Below are 23,540 nucleotides of genomic sequence, written 5' to 3' on the forward strand. Positions count from 1 at the left end.
GTGCTGGGATTACAGGCATGAGCCACTGCACCCAGTCCAGAGAAATTATTAAGTTTCCTGTGGGGAGATGCTCAGAGGCCACGCAAACACCCTATTTCTCATCCTGTTTTCACCCACTCATTGTAGCATCTGCCCATGGTTTTGTTTTATTTAAGGCTAGTCCATTTTTTTTGAAATAACATTTTAAAATTGTTTATATTTAACGTATACAACATGTTGTGTGGTTTTGGGGGGTTTTGCTTTTTTTGTTTTGTTTCGTTTTGAGACATAGTCTTGCTCTCTCACCCAGGCTGGAGTGCAGTGGTGCGATCTCAGCTCACTGTAACCTCAACTTCTTGGTTTCAGATGATCCTCCTGCCTCAGCCTCCTGAGTAGCTGGGACTACAGGTACATGCCACCACACCTGGCTAATTTTTGTATTTTTTGTAGAGATGGGGCTTTTCCATGTTGCCCAGGTTGGACAATGTGATGTTCTGATATATTTACTTTGATATACATATATAGTGAAGTGATTACTGCAGTCAAACAAACTACAAACTAATATAAAAATCATCCCATATAGTTACCATGTGTGTGGGGGGGTGCGCTGGGTGGGGAGGGTGAGGTTACCAGTAATTGATACAATGTTATTAACTATAGTCCTCATGCTGTCCATTAGATCTCTAGCATACTTGCCTTCCGTAACTGTAACTCTGTTCCATTTGACCTACAATCTTCCCATTTCCCCCTGCTCCTGGTAACTGCCATTTTACTCTATTTCTATGTATTTGATTTTTTTTTTCTAATTCCACATATAAATGAGATCATGCAGCATCTGTCTTTCTGTGCCTGGTTTATTCGGTTATTCATGTATCTTCTAAGTTCATCTGAATTGTCACAGATGTCAGGATCTCTTTTTGGTGTGTGTTTGTGACAGAGTCTCGCTCTGTCGCCCAGGCTGGAGTGCAGTGGCACGATCTCAGCTCACAGCAACCTCCACCTCCCAGGTTCAAGCGATTCTCCTGCCTCGGCCTCCCGAGTAGCTGGGATTATAGATGCACACCACCACACCCAGCTGATTTTTGTATTTTTAGTAGAGACGGGGTTTCACCATGTTGGCCAGGCTGGTCTTGAACTCCTGACCTCAAATGATCCACCCACTTCGGCCTCCCAAAGTGCTGGGATTACAGGTGTGAGCCACCGTGCCCAGCTGTCCCCATGGTTCTTGATGGCAACAATTAATACTAGCCTTTGCCTAATGGTGTTTTCTATTTCCATCATTCCATCTGCATTTATTAATTGAAATTCAACTGTAAGGAAGTGCTGTCTCTTCTCCCCCATTTATTGAGCTACTTGGAAAAACAAAGACCATCCAAATGAGAGCAGCACAGGCTGCTTATTCAGAGTTTGCAAGGGAGTCAGCCGAAGCTCCAGGGCAGGCAGGGGAGAGGGAGAGCTGTGGAGTGGAAAAGGGCAGGCTCAAGTGAGCCCACAGGAGGCTGTTGGCCTGGGGAAGCTGGGGGCAGCCAGCTAACAGCAGGTGTCCTGTGGGGTTGCTTAGGGAAGCACAATTGGCTTTCTCTGGTTGGTCCTAAGTTGGAAGGGGGGCCAGTGTTAGAGAAGCTGCAATCACTGACCAGGTCCTGAGCATTGCTGCAGAGGTTGGTGGTTGGTTTCCGGAGCTGGTTGCTGCACAGGTTTTGGGCCACAGTTTTGTTGCCATGTATGGATTGGCCATTGTCCTGCACCTCTTCTGCCTCTTACCAGGAGTTTCTAAGGAACGGTTCCAGACCCCACCCCAGCCCTGCATATAAATCTGATCTTCAATTTTTTTTTTTTTTTTTTTTTGAGACAAAGTCTCACTCTGTCACCCAGGCTGGAGCGTAGTGGTGTGATCACGGCTCACTGCAAGCTCCGCCTTCCGGGTTCACACCATTCTCCTGCCTCAGCCTCCTGAGTAGCTGGGACTACAGGTGCCCGCCACCACGCCTGGCTAATTTTTTTGTATTTTTAGTAGAGACGGGGTTTCAACGTGTTAGCCAGGATGGACTCGATCTCCTGACCTCGTGATCTGCCTGCGTCGGCCTCCCAAAGTGCTGGGATTACAGGTGTGAGCCACCGCGCCTGGCCCGAGACGGAGTTTCACTCTGGTCACCCAGGCTGAAGTGCAATGGCGCAATCTCAGCTCACCGCAACCTCCGCCTCCTGGGTTCAAGCAATTCTCCTGCCTCAGCCTCCTCAGTAGCTGGGATTATAGGCATGTGCTACCACACCCGACTAATTTTTTTTTTTTTTGTATTTTTTAGTAGAGACAGGGTTTCACCATGTTAGCCAAGATGGTCTTGATCTCCTGACCTTGTGATCCCCCCGCTTTGGCCTCTCAAAGTGCTTGGATTACAGGCATGAGCCACTGCGCCCGGCCTTTTTTTTTTCGTTTTCTTTTGTTTTTTGAGACAGCGTCTCTTTCTGACACCCAGGATGGAGTGCAGCGGCACGATCTTGGCTCACTGTAACCTCTGCCTCCTGGGTTCAAGCGATTCTTCTGCCTCGGCCTCTCAAGTAGCTGGGACTACAGGCATGCACCACCACACCTGGCTAATTTTTGTATTTTTAGTAGAAACAGTGGTTTGCCATGTTGCCCAAGCTGCTCTTGAACTCCTGGCCTCAAGCGATCTGCCCTCCTTGGCCCAAAGTGCTGGGATTACAGGCGTGAGCCACTGCGCCTGGCCAGTGATCCTCAACTTTGATTCAAATGGGCACCTGTTCTTTCTGTACTTCCTGAAACAAAGCGTGGTGGCACCCTTTAGAGAGAGCTCAACTTACACTCTGAATTTGACAAATGTGCAGTTGAACTTTAAAACAGATTCCAGGGCTGGGCGCGGGGCCTCACGCCTATAATCCCAGTACTTTGGGAGGCTGAGGCGGGCAGATCATGAGGTCAGGAGTTCAAGACCAACCTGACCAACATGGTGAAACCCCATCTCTAGTAAAAGTACAAAAAAGTTAGCCAGGCATGGTGGTGCGTGCCTGTAATCCCAGCTACTCAGGAGGCTGAGGCAGGAGAATTGCTTGAACCCGGGAGGTGGAGGTTGCAGTGAGCTGAGATCGCAGCAGTGCACTCCAGCCTGGGTGACAGAGCAAGACTCCATCTCAAAAAAAATAATAATAATAATAATAATAAATTATATATATAAAAATCAGATTCCAGGCAGCCAGGTGTGGTAGCTCACACCTGTAATCCCAGCACTTTGGGAGGCCAAGGAGGGTGGATCACCTGAGGTCAGGAGATTGAGACCAGCCTGCCCAACATGGTGAAACCCCGTCTCTACAGAAAAATGCAAAAATTAGCTGCGCATGGCAGCACACGCCTGTAATCCCAGCTACTTATGAGGCCAAGGCAGGAGAATCACTTGAACCTGGGAGGCAGAGGTTACAGTGAGCCGAGATCACACCATTGCACTCCAGCCTGGGTGACAGAGCGAGACTCCGTCTCAAAAAACAAAAACAAAAAACACCTCTAAACTCTAACAAATGAGCTGAGAAGAGTAAGGCATTTCAGCAGGAATGTCTGTTCCACTGGGGGTCCCTGGAGGGAGAGCAGGAGTCTGCCTTCTGAGCTTTCCTTGGGCCCTTTCCAAAGATTGTTTTCTTAGGCAAAAATTTTGACAAGTGGCCAATCTAGTGTCCTGTCCCACCTTGGCCTGCAGATCCTATTTTATAGAAATCATCTTTGAACTTGTGAGTGAGTTACATTTTGAGAAGGCCAAGTTTGGGTTTTGAAGCAAAACCAGCGTGTCTGTCCCCCAACCCCCCAAATGATGTCTAGGAGCTCCCGTGTCAGTTTCACCCCTTCTTGAAAGTCACAGCCAGGTGTCTGCTTGCTCATTAAGGGGCAGAGGTGCCACCCCAAGTGGCCGCCCCATGCAGAAGAGGAAAATATCTTTTTCTCACTCATCTTAGGTTCATGGCTGAGGCCCCTGTAACAAAAGACAGATTAACAAGATAAAAGCAGACAAATTTATTTAAAACAAGTTTTACGTGTCTTGGGAGCCCTTTATAAGGAAACAAAGACCTCCCCCCAAAACAGGTAAACCTGCATATGTTTATGTTAGGTTTGATGAAGATTAGAGTCATGGGCAAATCTGATTAGAGGACAAAAGGATCTGATCTGGCTGGGCACCGTGGCACACACCTGTAATCCCAGCATTTTGGGAGGCTGAGGCGGGAGGATCACTTGAGTTCAAGACCAGCCTGGGTGAGACCCCGTCTCAAAACAACAACAACAACAACAACAACAACAAAAAGCTTCTGATTTAATGATAATAACCTTGGGGGAACTTAGCAAGGCCTGTTTGTTCAGGTTCTTCTTGGCATCTTTGCATCTTCTGTTCCCCTCCTCCAGGTACAGGGGAGGCACCTCCCACCTGAGGGTCTCATGACCTGCTTCTGGGGAGAAGGGAAAAGAAACAGTGCTTCCTGCTTCTGTGTTCTCAAAGGCCAAGGTCATATTTTAGGCTATTATGTCCCGAACCCCATCCCTTGTTCTCACTGTGGTCCCCGGGGTCCGGGATGTCACATGGCTTTTCCCTTTGCCTTCCTGAGCTGCAGCAAACACGGCTCACTCCTGAACACAGGGAGCATCTTTCTGCTGTGACAAAAGACAAAAGCGTGACTCTTGGGCCCGTTTCTGCTGAAATCCTCAGGGACCTCCTCCCCCAGTTCTGCGGTCTGTCCTACCCAGTTCTAGAATTCACTTCATGGGTGTCTTTTCTAATTTAAATTCATGTAAAGGTAGTTTGGGCTGGGCGCGGTGGCTCACGCCTGTAATCCCAGCACTTTAGGAGGCCAACGAGGGCAGATCACCTGAGGTAAGGAGTTTGAGACCAGCCTGGCCAACATGGTGAAACCCTGTCTCTACTAAAAATACAAAAACTTAGCCGGGCATGGTGGTGCGCGCCTATAATCCCAGCTAATCGGGAGGTTGAGGCAGGAGAATCGCTTGAACCCGAGAGGTGGAGGTTGCAGTGAGCCAAGATTGCACCACTGCACTCCAGCCTGGGCAACAAGCATGAAACTCTGTCTCAAAAGTAAAATAAAATAAATAAAAATAAATAAAGGGTAGTTTGTATCACTAATTAAAAATAAATTCAATATTTCTGCAAAATAGGAGGTGATGGGGAAAAAACAAATTAAGTACAGTGGAAACAGAAGAATGTTATGGCCGGGTGCGGTGGCTCCCACCTGGAATCCCAGCGCTTTGGGAGGCTGAGGCAGGAGGACCACTTGAGCCCAGGAGTTCAAGACCAGCCTGGGCAACATAAGGAGACCCTGTCTCTACAGAAAATTAAAAACTTAGCCAGGTCTGGTGGCATGAGCCTATAATCCCAGCTATTCAGGAGGCTGAGGTGGGAGGATCACTTGAGACCAGGAGGTCGAGGCTATAGTGAGCTATGATTATGCCACTGCACCCAAGCCTGGGCAACAGAGCAAGACCCTGACTATAAAACAGCAGCAACAACAAAAAGAATGTCATGAAAACCTGTGTCTCTGATGGTTGCAGGCATTGGTGCCCTGGGGCCCTCTTCCTCTTGAGACAGGGAGGGTGGCGGGTGCTGGTGGTGCTGGGACTCCCTCCTTGGCCTCACCAAGGGATGAGGCAGCTGGAACAGAAGCAGGCCGCTCTTGTGCTGTGGGATCATGCACTGGCTGTGGTGGCCCACCGTGCTCCAGGCCTCATCCTCAACCCTCCCCACTGTGTCTGTGTCTCCTACTCTGTCTCTTACAAGGACACCAGTCATTGCACTTAGGGCCCACCCTAACCCTCATCTAGAGATCTTGCCTTAATCACATCTGCACAGACCCTTTTTCCTAAAAGCGTCACATTCACAGGTTCTGGGGGCAGGGTGTATCTTTCAGGGGCCATCGTTCCACCCCCTCCAGTTACGTCCCCCAGCCCCAGCTGCCCTCAGTGCTCTGTCACCTGCAGGGCCTAGCACACTTGTGTAGTTCCAGCCAGGTTGTGCAGTGACTTTGTCTATGTCTGTGGGTGCCACTCGAGGCTGAGCCCTGGCCCTGGGCAGGTGATCCAGTGAAGGATGGTACCATGGGCACTGCAGGCAGCCCTGTCTGGTGGCTCTTCTTGTTCACAGAGGCTGGGCAGGTGCAGCCAAGGGAGGGTCTGAGGCCACAATGCCCTTCTGGGGAGACTGTTCCTCACAGGACTGTGACCTCCTGAGGAGCTCAGAGCAAGAGCCCACAGGAGGGTGGGAGGGACCCCCTTCGGCCAGGACCCAGGCCTCGGGCACCTCACCCACTGTTGGGGTATAGCAAATGGCTGAATCCTTTCTGGGGAAGGTGACTTTGCAGAACATGTCCAGGCCACCTGACCCAGCACCTCGATTCTAGGAATCAAGGAGTAGAGAGGCTGCGCCGTTCTCACCCAAGCGCCCAAGTGCAAGGACAGCCCCCAGGGTCTGTAGCGGCAGGGGTGGTGCTGGGCAGTAGTCAGACATGGCTGATTGTTGTGGGGGGCGGAGTGAAACAGACGCAGTGCATCCCATGGGCTGATGATGAAAGATGCCGACCCCCAGCAACCGGCTGGGAAAGGTCTTTAGGACCTGGTTTCTGTCTGTTTGCAAGCAGTTTAGTTTATTTTTATTTTTTGAGACCCAGTCTTGCTCTGTCACCTGCGCTGGAGTGTACTGCTGAAATCACGGCTCATTGAAGCCTCAACCTCTTTGGCTCAGGTGACCTTCTCACCTCAGCCTCTCGAGTACCTGGGACCACAGGTGCATGCCATCATATCCAACTAATTTTTTTCTCTAGAGACGGGGTCTCACTATGTTGCCCAGGCTTGTCTCAAACTCCTGGGCTCAAGCGATCCTCCTACCTCAGCCTCTCAAAGTGCTGGGATTCCAGGTGCGTGCCACCACGCCCAGCTGAGAGCAGTTTTAGATTTACAGAAAAATTGCAAAGGCTGTACCAAGTTCCCCGACACCGCACACATCTAGCGTCCCTTACGCATAACCTCTCACAGTGCTGTGCTGCATTTGCCTCACTAATGAACAAGTGCTGAGATGGTATTAATATTAATGGAGCTCCACACTTTATTCACGTTCTTCCATTTTTCCTGAATGTCCTTTCTCTGTCCAAGGATCCCACCTGATCTTTAGTCCTCACATCTCCTTAGACTCCTCTGGGCTGAGACGGTTTCTCAGGCTCTTTGTTTTTGGTGACCGTTACAGTTTTGGGGAGCAGTGGTCAGGGCTGCTGGAGAATGCCCCTCCGGTGGGATGTGTCTGGTGTTTTTTCCTTTCTTTCGAGACAGAGTCTCGCTGTGTCACCCAGGCTGGAATGCAGTGGCGTGATCTCGGCTCACTGCACCCTCCACCTCCTGGGTTCAAGTGATTCTTCTGACTCAGCCTCCTGAGTAGCTGAGATTACAGGTGCCTGCCACCATGCCTGGCCAATTTTTGTATTTTTAGTAGAGACAGGATTTTGCCAGGTTGGCCAGGCTGGTCTTAAACTCCTGAGCTCGTGATCTGCCCGCCTCAGCCTCCCAAAGTGCTGGGATTACAGGCGTGAGCCACTGCGCCCAGCCTGATGTTTTTCTCACGGTCAGATGGGGTGATGGATCTGGGGGAGGAAGACCCTAGTCGTCACACTCCATCAGAGGCACATGCGTCCACCTGACTTATCCCAGCCAGCGTTGTCCTGGATCACCTAGCCCAGCTGGGATCCATCAGGTTTCTGTGCTGCAGTCACTGACAGCCCCCTTTCCAGACTGCACTCTTTGGAAAGAAGCCGCTAAGCGCAGCCACACCTGAGGGCAGGAGGCATGGCCCCTCTTGGAGGTCCGAGCTGCTGTGCTATTTGGGAATCCTTTGCCTGGGAGATTTGTCTCTTCCCTACCATGTACTTACTTACTCTGTCATTTCTTTATATTATATGGACTCATGGTTATTTTATAGTTCAGGCTTTCATCCATGATGCTTTATGTTTTTTTCCATTTCTACTCAAACTGTTCCAGCTTTGGCCATCAAGGGTTCTTTCGGTGGGTGCCCATGACCCCCTCGCCACACCCATCTGCTTTGGTTTCTGTTTCTGAACATGCCCTCCATGACTGGCACCTCCACGTACGTGCTCTAGGCTCTTCCTTTCTCTCTGGCCCCATCTTTGAAGCAGGTGTTTCTCCCAGAGCCAGTGCCCATGGGTCCATGTTCACTAGGAGAGTCAGCAGTGGAGGCTGGTGTAGCAGAATCCCAAGTGCACTTTGTACAGCGTCACTCACCGGCACTGATGCCTGCTCTGGGGCCTCTGCACCCTTTGCTTCACTTTGCAGTAATGCGTTTTCATTTACTGGATGATTTTAAAGCGTGGGAACTAACCAGGCACGGTGGCCATGCCTGGAATCCCAGCATTTTGGGAGGCTGAGGCCAGAGGATCGCTTGAGCCCAGGAGTTCCAGACCAGCCTGGGCAACATAGTGAGTCACTGTCTCTACAAAATATAAAATGAAAAATAAAAATTAGCCAACCCAGTCGGACGCGGTGGCTCATGCTTGTAATCCCAGCACTTTGGGAGGCCACGTTAGGAGGATCACACGAGGCCAGGAATTCAAAACCAGCCTGGCCAACATGGCAAAACCCTAGCTCTACTAAAAATAAAAAAATAAAAAATAGCTGGGTTTGGTAGTAAACGTCTGTAATCCCAGGTACTTGAGAGGCTGAGGCACAAGAATTACTTGAACCTGGAAGGCGGAGGCTGCAGTGAACCGAGATCATGCCACTGCATTCCAGCCTGGGCTACAGAGGGAGATTCTGTCAAAGCAAAAACAAAAACAAAAAAAAACACCCTTAGCTGACCAAGTGGGAGGATCACTTGGGCTCAGGAATTTGAGGCTGCAGTGAGCTATGATTGTTCTACTGCACTTGAGCCTGGGTGGGGGAAAAAAAAAAGGCCAGGTGCGGTGGCTCATGCCTGTAATCCCAGCACTTTGGGAGGCTAAGGCAGGCAGATCACCTGAGGTCAGGAGTTCGAGACTAGCCTGGCCAACATGGTGAAACCCCATCTCTACTAAAAATAAAAAATTAGCTGGGTGTGGTAGCAGGCGCCTGTAGTCCCAGCTACTTGGGAGGCTGAAGCACAAGAATTGCTTAAACCTAGGAGGTGGAGGTTGCAGTGAGCCAAGATCGTGCCACTGCACTCCAGCCTGGGTGACAGAGTGAGACTCCGTCTCAAAAAAATAAATAAATAAAAAATAAAGTATTTTGGTGGACAGAGACCCTCGGGTCCGAGCTGACACAAGCCCACTGGACGTTTGGCCTGACAGTGGTATTGGCACCGAGCACCTCGGTGCCCACTGGATGTTTGGCCTGACAGTGGTGTTGGCACTGAGCACCTCGGCCACGCTGGCCCCACAACCCGCTGGTAGCTGTGTGACCTTGGCTGGCTGCTTAACTTCTCTGAGCCTGTTTGCTCCCTGGGCACCAGATTTGGAAAAAGAACAGACTGTTTGTGAGGATTACATTCCAGTACCAACAAGAAAGGCTTTTGTAAATGATTAAGCAGTACACACAGGACCGTGGCTGCGGAATGCAGTTGAGGGCATCCCTCCCCACGCAGGGAGCCAGAAACTGGGATAGGAAAAGGCTGGTGGAACACCCACCATCTCTCAGGATCTCGCCGTATCTTACCACCTCCCCTTACCCCCCCAGGACCGAGTCTCCTGCCATTCCGAGCAGGCCTGGTATGGGTAATGGTGTGAAGGAAGGCCCGGTGCGATTGCATGAGGATGCTGAGGCTGTCCTGTCCTCGTCCGTCTCATCAAAGGCAAGTACCCCGGCCTCCTGGGATGGGTGTTCTCCTGGGGCCCCAGCCTCCCCACCCCCCCTCCCAGGCTCCCTGCCTCCTCCTCCCAGCCTCTGCACCCCCTCCAAACAGGCTCAGGGATTCCTCTGCTGTGCTCCATGCAGCCCATCACAAATCACCCTGTACCTAGGATGTGCATGTTGGTACCCCTTCCTACCTGGGCTGAGGGTGGAGTGGTGGAGCCTCTCTGCTCCCACGGCCCCAAATACTCCATCATGGGATGGAGGACGCCAGCCACCCTCTATTCCACCAAAAGCCCCACTTGTGATGTGAATCCAACCAGCCCAGCCACCTGGTAAGAGGCCAAAACCTAACCCAGTTCCAGCGTGGGGTGGGAAGCCTGAGGTATCAGACATGTCTTGGAGCCCCCTTTTCTCCCTCAGATTTTGGAACACTAAGGAATTAGCCAAGGCCAGGCATGGTGGCTCATGCCTATAATCCCAGCACTTTGGGATGCTGAGGTGGGAGGATCATATGAGACCAGGAGTTTGAGACCAGCCTGGGCAACATGGTGAAACCCCGTCTCTACTAAAAATATAAAAATTAGCCAGGCGTGGTGGTGCACACCTGTAATCCCAGCTACTTGGGAGGCTGAGGCAGTTGAATCGCTTGAACCTGGAAGGCAGAGGTTGCAGTGAGCCAAGATTGTGCCACTGCACCCCAGCCTGAGCGACAGGGTGAAACCCTGTCTCAAAAACAAAAAAAAAGAGCCAAATGCAGAGAGCCAAAGGGGGTGGGCATGCTTGGTCTTTACTCTGCATTTCCAAGTTCACCTCTTAAGTCCACAATTCCACTGAAGAAAAGATATTCTCTCAAAGCAATTGGGTCAGCCCTGTTGTTCACCATAGAAACCAGAACCCCCACTGGCCCCTAAGTCCTCTCAGCTGAACCTGAAACACAGACCGACCCAGCCCCACGCAGAAATCATCGCACTCCCAGGGCCTGACTCAGGCCGACCGCACAGGCAGTTTTCAAAGTCCATGGGGTCAAAGGCTGAGGTGGCGTCATCTTCCAGGCCTCCCGACCTTTCCCCGGATTCCAGGTGACATCTCAGAGCAGCAGGCGGGCGGGAGGACTCATTCACCGGGGTCACCACCAGGTGACTGAGGCACAGGGCAGGCACGTGCCTTGAAGTTTAGTGAAGGTCCCAACAGAGCTGGAAGAACACCTGGATATGGCTGTTGCTCTGCATGCCGGAGAGGAGGGGGTCTGCAACGTGGATCCCACCACGTGGACAAGCTTGAGGCAGCGGTGGCTGCTGAACCACACGCAGAAATGCGCCAGTGCTGGTCACTTGCCGGGCATCACACACACATGCCCATTCTCCTCTGTACTGGCAGGCCCCAACAACATTGCTCTTGGTCCGCCTGGCCAGCCCCAAGGTGGGAGGGACTCACTCTGCAATGTCTCTTTTCTTTGGTTAAGAAGCTGAGCCTTGGCTGGGATGGTGGCTCACACCTGTAATCCCTGCACTCTGGGAGGCCCAGGTGGGAGGATTGCTTGAGGTCAGGAGTTCGAGACCAGCCTGGCCAACATGGTGAAACCCCATCTCTACTAAAAATACAAAAATCGGCCAGGCGTGGTGGCACGCACCTGTAATCCCAGCTCCGCATGAGGTTGAAGTGGGAGAATCGCTTGAACTCAGGAGGTGGAGGTGGCAGTGAGCTGAGATCACGCCACTGCACTCCAGCCTAGGCGACAGAGTGAGACCCTGTCTCAGAAAAAAAAAAAAAATACTGAGCTTCTTCCCACTGTGTTTATGGCCAACATGCATCCCATCTGGGATTGCCCACTTTCTCTTGTCAGCTGCCTGGCCGACAAATCCTTCTTTCGTAGGATCTCCCCACGTGATGGATCTTGAAACTTCAACCCCTCAGTGATGCCTGCTCCCAGCTCTTTGGATAATAAGGTGTTTGTGTTCATTAGAGAGGAGCTGGAAGTATCAGCCAGAGGCAGCAGCCTCCACTGAGCATGTGAACTGGCCCCAACACACGTCCTCCAGGTGCCACTGGTGGCTACCTGGAGAGGTGCAGTTTATGGACGTGTGTTCCTGATACTAAGATTTGGCATTGGCCAGGCATGGTGACTCACACCAGAGATCCCAGCACTTTAGCAGGCCAAGACGGGAGGATTGCTTGAACCCAGGAGTTTGAGAACAGCCTGGGTAACATAGCAAGACCTTGTCTTTGCAAAAAAATAAAATTAGCTGGGTGTGGTGGCACACATCTGTGGTCTCAGCTACTGAGGAGGCTGAGGTGGGAGGATCACCTGAGCCCAAGAGGTCATGGCTGCAGTGAGCTATGATCATGCACTTGCACTCCAGCCTGGTGGCAGAGTGGGATCCTATCTCAGAAAAACAACACAGAGTTGGCTTTGTAACGTTAAGAGCCTTGGCTGGGCCCGCTGGCTCTCGCCTGTAATCCCAACACTTTGGGATGCCGAGACAGGCGGATCACCTGAGCCTCAGGGGTTCGAGACCAGCCTGGGCAACGTGGAGAAACCCCATCTCTGCTAAAAATACAAAAATTAGCCAGGCAGGGTGGCGCGCAGCTGTAATCCCAGGTACTGGGAAGGCTGAGGCAGGACAAACAACCACTTGAACCCAGGAGGCAGAGGTTGCAGTGAGCCAAAATTGCGCCACCGCACTCCAGCCTGGTGGACAGAGCAAGACTGTCTCAAAAAACAAACAAAACGACAAACTGATAGGAGGTAACCACCGAATGGAGGAGGTGGAAGAACTCTGTCTCCAGCAGGGTGCAGGGAGGCACTCTCCATGGAATATTCCATTTGCACACAGAGGCCCATTCCAGAGGGGAGCAGCTGGTCCGACTGATTCAGAGAAGAAACTGGCCTGAAGCTGGTAAGGCCTTGGACTGCTGCTGGGACCACCAACAAGCGCCCGCAATTCTCAAAGCTCATGGAACCAGACGTCTGCAACCTGGCTGCATGTCCCAGAAAAGGCAGAGGTCCCCAAAGACAGCTTCCGAGAAGCTAGGAGAAGATCAAACTCCATGGCGAAGTTTGGCCTCAGAAACAAAATCGCTGTGCAATCTGTCCCTTTGAGGAAGGGAGGGCTGGGCTGGTGGAGGGGACCCTGGGAGCACTGAGGAAAAGGAGGCTGTGTTCTGTGGAACCAGACTGGGGGTGCAAGGCTGCTGGGTAGCCCAGGACATGTGGGAGAGGGTCTGAGAGCTGGCACCTTGCTGTTGTAAAGATAGGACTGGGAGACCAAAGAGGGCACCCTCTGCCTGAGCTCAGTCGGGCAGAGCTGGGATTCAGGCCAAGTGTGTGGACAGACTCAGGCCCAGCCCTTTACCCCGAGCCACACACTGAGCTGAGCAAACTCCAGAGGTGGGGGCAACCATGCTCAGTCTGACTCCGGTTGCCTGTTACACCTGAGTAGTGCGCCACATCCCTTCCCCATCTCCAGCCTCCACCATATCTATCCTGGGTTTCTGCAGGAGCCGCTTCTACCCTGGTCACATTTTTATTTTTATTTTTTATTTTTTCAGACACTCTGTCACCCTGTCTGGAGAATAGTGGTGCAATCACGGCTCACTGCAACCTTGGTATCCTGGGTTCAAGCGATTCTTCTGCCTCAGTTTTCTGAGTAACTAGGATTACAGGCACCCACCACCATGCCCGGCTAATTTTCGTATTTTTAGTAGAGATGGGGTTTCACCATGTTGGGCACGCTGGTCTCGAACTCCTGACCTCACGTGATCTGCCCGCCTCGGCCTCCCAAAGTGCTGAGATTATAGGCATGAGACACAGTGCCCAGCCCCACTCTGGTCATATTAAAAATAGCCCATTTCGGCCGGGCGCGGTGTCTCATGCTTGTAATCCCAGCACTTCAGAAGGCCGAGGCAGGCAGATCACTTGAGGCCAGGAATTCGAGACCAGCCTGGCCAACATGGCGAAACCTCATTTCTACTAAAAATACAAAAATTAGCCAGGCGTGGTGGTGCTTGCCTGTAATTCCAGCTACTCAGGAGGCTGAGGGAGGAGAATCGCTTGAACCCGAGAGGCAAAGTTTGCAGTGAGCTGAGATCACACCACTGTGTTCCAGCCTGGGCGACAGAGCAAGACTGTGCCTCAGAAAAAAAATAAAAATAACCCATTTATTTGGGCAAAGATCAGCCTCCTTGCCAGGCTTTGTAGGATCTAGCACCCACCTCTCTTTGCCATCTCCTTTCTCTTCTCTGGGCCCCCTCCCTTTCCCTGTGCCAGCAAATCTGCCCTCCTTGTGGTCCCCCAGGGTCCCCTGCTCCTTTTCACCCTAGCCTCTGAGTATTCATTCCTCCCCACCTAATACTATGACACACACCCCAAAGTGACCTGCACCTCATCCTTCAAGCTCAGCCTCTCACCTACCAACCCAGAGTTCTTACAGAACCCTGGGCCACCTCCTCGCGGCACCTTCCCAATGGGTGGCTGTATTTGCTTTCATCTGATGCTTCTGTTGGCATCTGGCTCTCTGTGTGGACCAGTGGCACCACGGGGACAGGAAGGGTCTTGTACACACCCCCACCCTGCACTGTGGGGCTCCAGGCCCTTCAGGATGCCCTTGCCTGGTGGGACTTCGCAGATTCCTGGGAGTCACTGAACAACCTGCCCTTCCACGTTACATTCAGACAGCAAAGCATTGCAGGCTGAGGCAGAAGAATGCTCTCCCCTGCTTCTCAATGAGTCCCATGGCCGAGTCCACTGGGGAAATGGAATCAGAGCACCTCCCATCCAGAACTTTCCAGAATGCTCTCTGCCACTTCTCAGTGAGAGTCCCGTGGCCGAGTCAGCAGGGGAAATGGAAACTCCAACCTGATGGGCAGGTGGTGCCTGTGGGATCCCACAGGGCTCGGACACACTGCTGTGCGGCGTGACCTTCCAGGGAAGGAGGGAGGGCTGTGGGGGAGCAGGGGACTTGGGCAGCTCCAGAGGACTGCAGAAAGCGATGGCTCTCAGGCTGGCATGGGAGCAGTCAACGCAGGTTGGCAGCCATCATCAGTGTCACTGTCACCCCCTCAACTGGGCTGGATGAAGAGTCATAGATGCCTACCTCTGGAGTCCTGATCGGAAGTTGTGGGAAGGGACACGCTGACACAGAGTCAGGGTCTGCTTGCCTGATACCCACTGCCAACCCCCTGACCCCAACGGTCCCTGGTGCCTGTTTTCAGTCCCTGTGTACCTACAATGCCACAGTGCCGTAGTCAGGTGCACACAGGCTGTGGAGGGAACTGAAGTTTGCACGTGGGCCAGTCCTATTGTGAGCCTGTCTCTGAGAATGTGAAACCTGCACACCTCACCTCCAAAGTGGATGGTACCTGTCATCTTGGGAGGTTTTCACTGTGTCCCCAGTAGGCTCTGTGGCCTGTGGACCCACCACAGATCACCCAGAACCAAGCAAGGCCAACATACTCAGGGTGGGGTACATCCCTCGGCCCCGGCCCAGAGGGTGTAAGGAAGGCACTTCTGGGGCAAGGTCCTCTGCGGAGCCGCCCCCCTGCCCTCTGACCTCTGATCACATGTTCTGTTGCAGCGTGACCACAGGCAAGTGCTCAGCTCCCTGCTGTCTGGGGCCCTGGCTGGTGCCCTTGCCAAAACAGCGGTAGCTCCCCTGGACCGAACCAAAATCATCTTCCAAGGTAAGTGTTGGCCATCCCCAGGTGCTAGAGAAGCTGCCAGGCGGTCACCTCCTCCTTCATGGCCCCCAAACCACGCTTCAAATTGGCTTTTATTTTTAGATTTATTTTAGAAATAAGGTTTTTTGTTGTTTTTTTTTTTTGAGACGGAGTCTCGCTCTGTCACCCAGGCTGGAGTGCGGTGGTGCAATCTTGGCTCACCGCAAGCTCTGCCTCCCGGGTTCACGCCATTCTCCTGCCTCAGCCTCCCGAGTAGCTGGTACTACAGGCATGCGCCACCATGCCCGGCCAATTTTTTTGTATTTTTAGTAGAGACAGGGTTTCACTATGTTAGACAGGATGGTCTTGATCTCCTGACCTCGTAATCCGCCCGCCTCGGCCTCCCAAAGTGCTGGGATTACAGACTTGAGCCACCGCCCCCGGCCAGAAATGAGGTTTTTCTCTGTTGCCCAGGCTGGCTTCAAAGTCCTGGGCTCAAGTGATCCTCCTGCCTAAGCCTCCCAAGTAGCTGGGACTATGGGTGTGCTCCACTGCACTCAATTGGGTTTTTTTAATGCCTCTTTAAAATCCACTCAGAGGCCCTGGCGCAGTGGCTCTTGCCTGTAATCCCAGCATTTTGGGAGGCCAAGGCAGGCAGATCACTTGAGGTCAGGAGTTTGAGAGCAGCCTAGCCAACATGGTGAAACCCCGCCTCTACTAAAAATACAAAAATTAGCTGGACATGGTGGCGGGCACCTGCAATCCCAGCTACTCTGGAGGCTGAGTCAGGAGAATCGCTTGAACCTGGGAGGCGGAGGTTGCAGTCAGCCAAGGTCGCGCCATCGCACTCCAGCCTGGGTGACAGAGAGACTCTGTCTCAAAAATAAATAAATAAATAAATAAATAAATAAATAAATAATAAAATCCACTTCGAATCTGTACGAGTTTCCTGGGGCTGCTGTCAGAAAGCACCACAAACCAGGTGGCCTCAAACAACAGGAATTTCTTCTTTCACAGTCCTAGGGCCAGAAGTCTGAAGTGAAGGTGTGGGCAGGGCTGCGTTCCCTCCAGAGGCTCTAGGGGAGGATCCTTCCTTGCTTCTTCCGGCTTCTGGGGGCTCCTGGTTCTCCTTGGCTTGTGGCCGCATGGCTCCAATTTCTGCCTCTGTCATCACGTGGCCTTCTCCCCTGTGTGTCTGTTTTCTCTCTCTCTCTTTTATTTATTTATTTTTGTTTGTTTGTTTGTTTTTGAGATAGAGCCTAGCTCTGTCACCCAGGCTGGAGTTCAGTGGTGTGATCTTGGCTCAGTGCAACCTCCATCTCCCCAGTTCAAGCAATTTTCCTGCCTTAGCCTCCCGAGTAGCTGGGACAACAGGCACGCACCACCACGCCTGGCTAATTTTTTTGTATTTTTAGTAGAGACAGGTTTCGACACGTTGGCCCCGCTGGTCTTGAATTCCTAGCCTCAAGTGATCCACCCGCCTTGGCCTCCCAAAGTGCTGGGATTATGGGCATGAGTCACCGCGCCCGGCCTGTTTTCTCTTCTTATAAGGACACCAATTCGCATTTAGGGCCCACCCTAACCCAGTATGACCTTACCTTAACTCTATTACATCTGCAAAGGCCCTGCTTTCAGATAAGGTCACCTTCTTGGAGACTAGGGGTTAGAACTCAGACATAGCTTTTCAGAGGACAGAAATTAAACCCTCAACAGAAACCCTCGCCCTCCCTCGCTAGGGTTAGTCACAGGGTCCTCTGAAGAGGTGGCCTTTGCCCCCTTCAAACAGTTACCAGTTCCTGCCTAGGGCCCAGAAGCAAGATGGTTACGGCCCGGGCCCTCTGCCCCTCAGCTGTTTGGGAAGAATCTGCAGGCTTGAGCCAGGCCCTTCCCACCACCTTGAGCCGATCCCCTACCCTCTCTGTGTCCCAGTTTCCTCCTCCGTAAAGTGGAGGCATGGATATCCGCTTCCTCCTTGGCTGGCATGGGCATCCAGTGAGCTGGCAGGCCTTCGAAAGGGACAGCCTTATTTATTTATTTATTTATTTATTTATTTATTTATTTAGAGACAGAGTCTCTCTCTGTCCCCCTGGCTGGAGTGCAGTGGTGCGATCTCGGCTCACCACAACCTCCACCTCCTGGATTTAAGCGATACTCCTGCCTTACCCTCCCGAGTAGCTGGGATTGCAGGAGTCTGCCACCATGCCTGGCTAATTTTTTTGTACTTTTTTTTAGTAGAGTCAGCGTTTCACCATGTTGGCCAGGCTGGTCTCGAACTCCTGACCTCAGGTGATCCACCCGCCTCAGCCTCCCAGAGTGCTGGGATTACAGGTTTGAGCCACTGCACCTGGCCAGGGCAGGCCCCTTTAAGTGCGCATGAGCAGGTGCAGGGTGTTGTGTTCTGCAGGGAACTGGGGTTCAACCCTTGAGGCAGCAGGCATGCATGCATGTTGCACACACAAGTGGTGGGTGGTGAGGGGTGAGGGAGGCGGGCTGCCAGACCACGTCAGAGGCTCCTGGTGACCGTTTGTGGCCTGTTTTTCTGGGTCTCTCCCAAGAGTGCTTATGGCCCACCATGGCTCGGGTCCCCCATGCCCAAGGGCAGCACAGAGCCAGAAAGGGAACCTGGCAGCCACAGGGGGTGGGAGAGGCAGGATAGCGGTGCCTGTGCTGGGACCCTGGGAGGGGCATGTCCGGGAGAGAGGGCAGACCCCACATGTAGACCCCTGCAGGCCTTGTTCTGAGAGAGCCAGGGCTTCTCAGCTGAGACCCAAGTGCCTGGAGGCTGGGACACCTTCCCTGCAGGGGTTTGGGTGAATGGTAGTCTAGTCCAGGGGCAGGGTGCTGAGTGTCAACCCATCTCAGACACGTTCTCCTCTCAATGGAGACCCTCACTATTCTGGGGCTTGGGTGTCAGCTCAGCTCCCATTCCTGGGACAAGATTGGGGGGAAAAGGAGGGTGACTCTGCTAGTGGGTGCCAGGGGTGGGGCCACGCAGATGGGAGGTTCTGTCCTTTGCATCTCAGTGGCTTTTGTGCTTTTGTTTTTTCCAGTGTCTTCAAAAAGATTTTCTGCCAAGGTGAGCCACTATGTCACCGCCCCGGCCTGGGGACAGTCACCACTACCCTGATGGGCTGGCAGGAGTTAGGCAGGTGGTCTGAGGAGAGTCTCAGGGGTGGGGACAGGACTACCTGTCTTCCCATTCCCAGCTCTGCCTGGACACAGCCCAGCCTGGGAACTGACGGGACATCCCGAGTGTCCTTCCGGCAGTGGGGTGGGGAGACTCAACAGCTCTAAAACAACCTTTTCATGTTTGATTTATTGTTAAACAGAGAGCAGGTGCTACTTTCTTAATAAAGGAAAAGATAAACTGTAAAAGCTGGGATGCCAAACACCAACAGACATGCCCTTGGGCAGGGCTCCGAGCTGCTTTGCAGCCTGGTTCGCTTTGCAGTCCCCAAGAGAACTTGGTGGGGTGGGAGGCCCAGAAAACATAGGGAGGAAGGACGGGGCTGGGGTTGATAATGTCAGTCTGGACAAATCGGGGTGGGGCCCTCACATGGGGGTGGGGTTATGTGCTGTGCATGGAGATGGGGTCACCCCGGCCCCGCCTCCGCACTTTGGGCGCTCTGCTGGTCACAGAGGCCCGCAGGGAGGGCAGGCAGAGGCAGAGGGATGTTGACCTTCCCGCTTATCTCCAGGAGGCCTTCCGGGTCCTCTACTACACCTACCTCAACGAGGGATTTCTCAGCTTGTGGCGCGGGAACTCGGCCACCATGGTGCGCGTGGTGCCCTACGCCGCCATCCAGTTCAGCGCACACGAGGAGTACAAGCGCATCCTGGGCAGCTACTATGGCTTCCGTGGAGAGTGAGGCCCCGCCCCGCCCTGCCACAGAATCGCCCCGCCCACGCCCGCCCCTCTCTCTTTCTTCTGCACGCCCCGCTCCCTCCTCTTCGTGCCTTGCCCCTAGCCCTGCCTTCCCTCTTCCCACAACGAAACACTGGGAGACTCCTCACCCAGGCCCTCCTGAGGGACCCCCTGACTCTGTCACATGCCCTATTCTGTCTTCAGAGCTCCTCTCCTTTGCCCGTTTGTCTCCAGACGTTTCTCCACCCCCACGCATAAATCCCAGAGGGGCAGGTTACTATGCCCCCAGGGCCGTAGGGAAAATACGCATCATTAATTTATGCCAGCAGGGGGGAAGGGAAGGCAGCCATGTAAACCTCAAAATGAGGCCCACTCCAGAGACCCCATCAGCTTGGCCAGGAGGAAGCCAAACCCGCCTCGTGTTCCTCGGTCCCCACCCCTGTCCCCGCCCCAGCAGAGACGTGCGGGTGCTCCAGGCTGGGCCTCTGTGCATCTGCAACCCCCTCACTGCCGTCTCGCCTTCTCCTCCTGCCCTGTTCAGAGCCCTGCCCCCTTGGCCTCGCCTCTTCGCCGGCGCACTGGCTGGAACGACAGCCGCTTCACTGACCTACCCCCTGGACCTGGTCAGAGCGCGGATGGCCGTAACCCCGAAGGAAATGTGAGTCCTTACATCGGTGATGCGCATCAGCCCCGGGGGCTCTGTGTCTCGGGGGCTCCCAGGTCGGAATCCCTCTCTCTATCGGGCCCCAGGGGTTTGCATCTGGGCCTCCGTGTCCACAGGGCAGGCCTGATGTGTCATTCTGCAGCTGTTCCAGAAAGGCAGCAATTTGTTCTCTTAGCCTGGGGGTCACTTTCTGCTTAGATCAAACCAAGGGTCTTCATTTTGAACTGGGCACAGATGCAGTAAAAATATGTAAGAATACGGCCGGGCACGGTGGCTCACGCCTGTAATCCCAACACTTTGGGAGGCCGAGGTGGGCGGATCACTTGAGGTCAGGAGTTTGAGACCAGCTTGGGCAACATGGTGAAACCCCGTATTTACTAAAAATACAAAAATTAGCCGGGCGTGGTGACACGCACCTGTACTCCCAGCTACCTGGGAGGCTGAGGCAGGAGAATTGCTTGAACCCGGGAGGCGGAGGTTGCAGCGAGCCGAGATCGAGCCACTGCACTCCAGTGTGGGCAATAGAGCCAGACTCTGTCTCTCAAAAAAAAAAAAAAAAAAAAAAAAAAAGTCTGAGACTAGAATGCTTAATTCAAGGAAGATACCATGATCATGAAAAATGTGTAAGAATAGACCGGGCTTGGGCCCAGGTGCGGTGGCCCATGCCTGTAATCCCAGCACTTTGGGAGGCCAAGGCAGGAGGATCGCTTGAGCCCAGGAGTTTGAGACCAGCCTGGGCAACATAGCAAGACCCCATCTCTACAAAAACTGAAATATTAGCCTGATGTGATGGCATACGCCTGTGATCCCAGCTGCTCCAGAAGCTGAGGGAGGAGGATTGCTTGAGTCTCGCAGCTTGAGGCTGCAGTGAGCCATGATCACGTCACTGCACTCCAGCCGGTCCACAGAGTGAGACCCTGTCTCCAAAAAAAAAAAAACAAAAAAAGTGTAAGAATAGAGGCCGAGCATGGTGGCTCACGCCTGTAATTCCAGCACTTTGAGAGGCTGGGGTGGGTGGATCACCTGAGGTCAGGAGTTCAAGACCAGCCTGGTCAACATGGCAAACTCTATTTCTACTAAAAATAAAAAATTAGCCAGGTCTGCTGGCATGTATCTGTAATCCCAGCTACTTGGGAGGCTGAAGCAGGAGAATCACTTGTACCCAGGAGGCAGAGGTTGCAGTGAGCCAAGACTGTGACACTACACTCCAGCCTGGGCAACAGAGGGAGACTGTCTCAAAACAAAAACAAAGAAACAAAAAAAAAGACAAGGGCTGAGCACTTGCTTCCCGTGGCGAAGGTGGAGTCTGGGCTTACGCATGCATTTCCCCTCTAATAACAAAGCTTGAGTGATGGGGTTATATGTCTTGAAGAAGAAGGAAAACATCAACATCCAGACACACCCAGGCCCAGCCGGCTTCGGGAGGAGCCGAGAGCCTCTGTGGCTCCTCCCTGTGCCTGGGAGGCCTGAGTCCCACCTGCTGGGCTGCTCTGTCCTGGCAGGTACAGCAACATCTTTCATGTCTTCATCCGCATCTCGAGAGAAGAGGGGCTGAAGACTCTCTACCATGGATTTATGCCCACCGTGCTGGGGGTCATTCCCTACGCTGGCCTGAGCTTCTTCACCTATGAGACGCTCAAGAGCTTGCACAGAGGTAAGGAGAGCTGGGAGCATGAGGAGGGGACGTTCAGGAAGCATTCCCTGGGGACAGCAGCTCCACCTGGGTCACATAGACCTGGAGACCAGGCGGAGTGGGGTACGACCCCTGGGTGGGGCAGGCTGTAGACCCACATCCAAATCGGGAGAAAACACACTGTGTGCAGCCGCCACTGAGGAACCTGGACTCACTGCCTTAAATGCCTAAGTGAGAGGAACTCTGGCTGGTGCCACGGCTCGTGCCTGTAATCCCAGTGCTTTGGGAGGCCGAGGTGGGCGGATCACTTGAGGTCAGGAGTTGCAGACCAGCCTGGGCAACATGGCGAAACCCCGTCTCTACCAAAGATACAAAAAAATTAGGCATGGTGGCACACACCTGTGGTCCCAGCTACTAGAGAGGCTGCGGTGGGAGGATCACCCAAGCCTGGGAGGTCAAGGCCGCAGTGAGCTGTGATCTCACTGCTGCACACCAGCCTGGGTGTCAAAGTGAGACCCTGTCTCAAGAAAAAAAAAAAAAGTGACTCTGGGAAGCCCAGTGTGTCACCTAGAGCATTGATACCTCACCTCTTCACGAGCACACACGCAAAGCATATGGGTAAAACCCAGATGGAAAGGAAGTACTCTTGCTTGTTTTGGTAGTTGGGAGAAAATCAAAAAGTACAAAGAATGATATAATACTCATACCTGCCACTGCATGTGAACAGGCATTCACATTTTGCTACATTTGCTCCCAGATATTTTGTTTTTTTTCTTTTTTGTAGAGATGGGGTCTCCCTCTGTTGCCCAAGTTGGTCTCAAACTCCTGGGCTCAAGCGATCCTCCTGCCTTGGCCTCCCAAAGTGCTGGGATTAAAGGTGTGAGCCGCTGCACTCAGCCCACTCCCAGACATTTTTTGTCAAAGAAATAAAATGTTAGGGGTAACGCTGAGGGCCCAAGTCTCTCTCCTGAGGCCTCTTATTAGAAGTGAGGGTTGCACCCCTCAAGACTGCTTTGAAAATACTTCTGTATGTATTTATCTGTGGCATGAACAAAACCATGTCACCTTTCACAGGTATAAAAAATGCTCCAAGTGGAGTCAGCTCACCCGGGAGTGCAGCTCCCAGCTCAGCTGGTTTGGGGTGCATCCACCAGCATCTGTGCTCTGTTCCGCCTTTTTAGTGGCTGCACAGTGGGCCTTACCTTCTTGGGGTGCCCTTTGGCTGTTGCCAGGTTTTCTGTGATCAGCCGACATCCAGGAGCTCGTCTCCTTGTGTGACTGTAAAACCCCATTTTCGGTGTTTCTCTCTGGAGTGCTTTCCAGCCCCTTGACCCCACGTTCTCACCCCACGTGATGCCATCAGACCCCTTGTTTTTGCCCACCTGGTGAGCAGATCACAGTGTCTCCTGTCTGGCTGTTTTTTTGAGACGGAGTCTCACTCTGCCGCCCAGGCTGGAGTGCAGTGGAACGATCTCAGCTCACTGCAACCTCCACTTCCTGGGTTCAAGCCATTCTCCTGCCTCAGCCTCCCTAGTAGCTGGGATTACAGGCGCCCACCACCACACCTGGCTAATTTTTGTGTGTTTTTGGTAGAGACAGGGTTTCTCCATGTTGGCCAGGCTGGTCTCCAATTCCTGGGCTCAAGTGATCCGCCTGCCTTGGCCTCCCAAAGTGCTGAGATTACAGGCGTGAGTCACTGCACCCAGCCTTGGCTGTTTTAAATTCCTAGTTCTAAATTTACTATTACAAATGTTTAAAGTACCCCTACTGACCTGTTGCTGCTCCTTCCTCCTCCACACCCACACACCCCGTTTAGACCCGCAAGACAGAGCAGGGTGAAGTTCATGGTCACTTATGTCCACTCTGTGCAACAGCTCGCAGGGGCTCCCCAGGGAGGGCGCAGGTCGGGGAC

The 23,540-nt window shown here is 52.9% G+C and overlaps 1 protein-coding gene across 2 annotated transcripts in view, besides 3 other annotated features; it reads left to right on the forward strand.

Moving 5' to 3' along the window:
- SLC25A42 (solute carrier family 25 member 42) overlaps nt 1–23,540 on the forward strand; it is a 49,037-nt gene that overhangs the window by 22,403 nt on the left and 3,094 nt on the right. For both annotated transcript variants that reach the window (NM_178526.5, NM_001321544.2), the window contains exons 2-7: nt 9,695–9,809; nt 15,385–15,490; nt 18,517–18,542; nt 19,165–19,331; nt 19,873–19,989; nt 21,498–21,649. In NM_178526.5, the coding sequence (NP_848621.2) occupies nt 9,729–9,809; nt 15,385–15,490; nt 18,517–18,542; nt 19,165–19,331; nt 19,873–19,989; nt 21,498–21,649 (649 nt within the window). In that variant the 5' untranslated portion in view covers nt 9,695–9,728. The remainder of the gene's footprint in view (nt 1–9,694; nt 9,810–15,384; nt 15,491–18,516; nt 18,543–19,164; nt 19,332–19,872; nt 19,990–21,497; nt 21,650–23,540) is intronic.
- Nucleotides 1,564–2,064: an enhancer, noted in NCBI's record as "H3K27ac hESC enhancer chr19:19198769-19199269 (GRCh37/hg19 assembly coordinates)". NCBI's record gives its function as "activates a minimal SCP1, AML or CMV promoter by ChIP-STARR-seq in naive H9 embryonic stem cells {active_cell/tissue: H9 hESC(naive)}" and the evidence as "EXISTENCE:reporter gene assay evidence [ECO:0000049][PMID:30033119]".
- Nucleotides 8,382–8,881: an enhancer, noted in NCBI's record as "H3K4me1 hESC enhancer chr19:19205587-19206086 (GRCh37/hg19 assembly coordinates)". NCBI's record gives its function as "activates a minimal SCP1, AML or CMV promoter by ChIP-STARR-seq in primed H9 embryonic stem cells {active_cell/tissue: H9 hESC(primed)}" and the evidence as "EXISTENCE:reporter gene assay evidence [ECO:0000049][PMID:30033119]".
- Nucleotides 10,195–11,394: an enhancer, noted in NCBI's record as "CDK7 strongly-dependent group 2 enhancer chr19:19207400-19208599 (GRCh37/hg19 assembly coordinates)". NCBI's record gives its function as "activates an origin of replication core promoter dependent on BRD2, BRD4, P300/CBP, MED14 and CDK7 cofactors, with strong dependence on CDK7, by STARR-seq in HCT116 cells {active_cell/tissue: HCT116}" and the evidence as "EXISTENCE:reporter gene assay evidence [ECO:0000049][PMID:35650434]".

Source organism: Homo sapiens, chromosome 19, assembly GCF_000001405.40.
Source record: "Homo sapiens chromosome 19, GRCh38.p14 Primary Assembly".
NCBI classification, from domain to species: domain Eukaryota; kingdom Metazoa; phylum Chordata; class Mammalia; order Primates; family Hominidae; genus Homo; species Homo sapiens.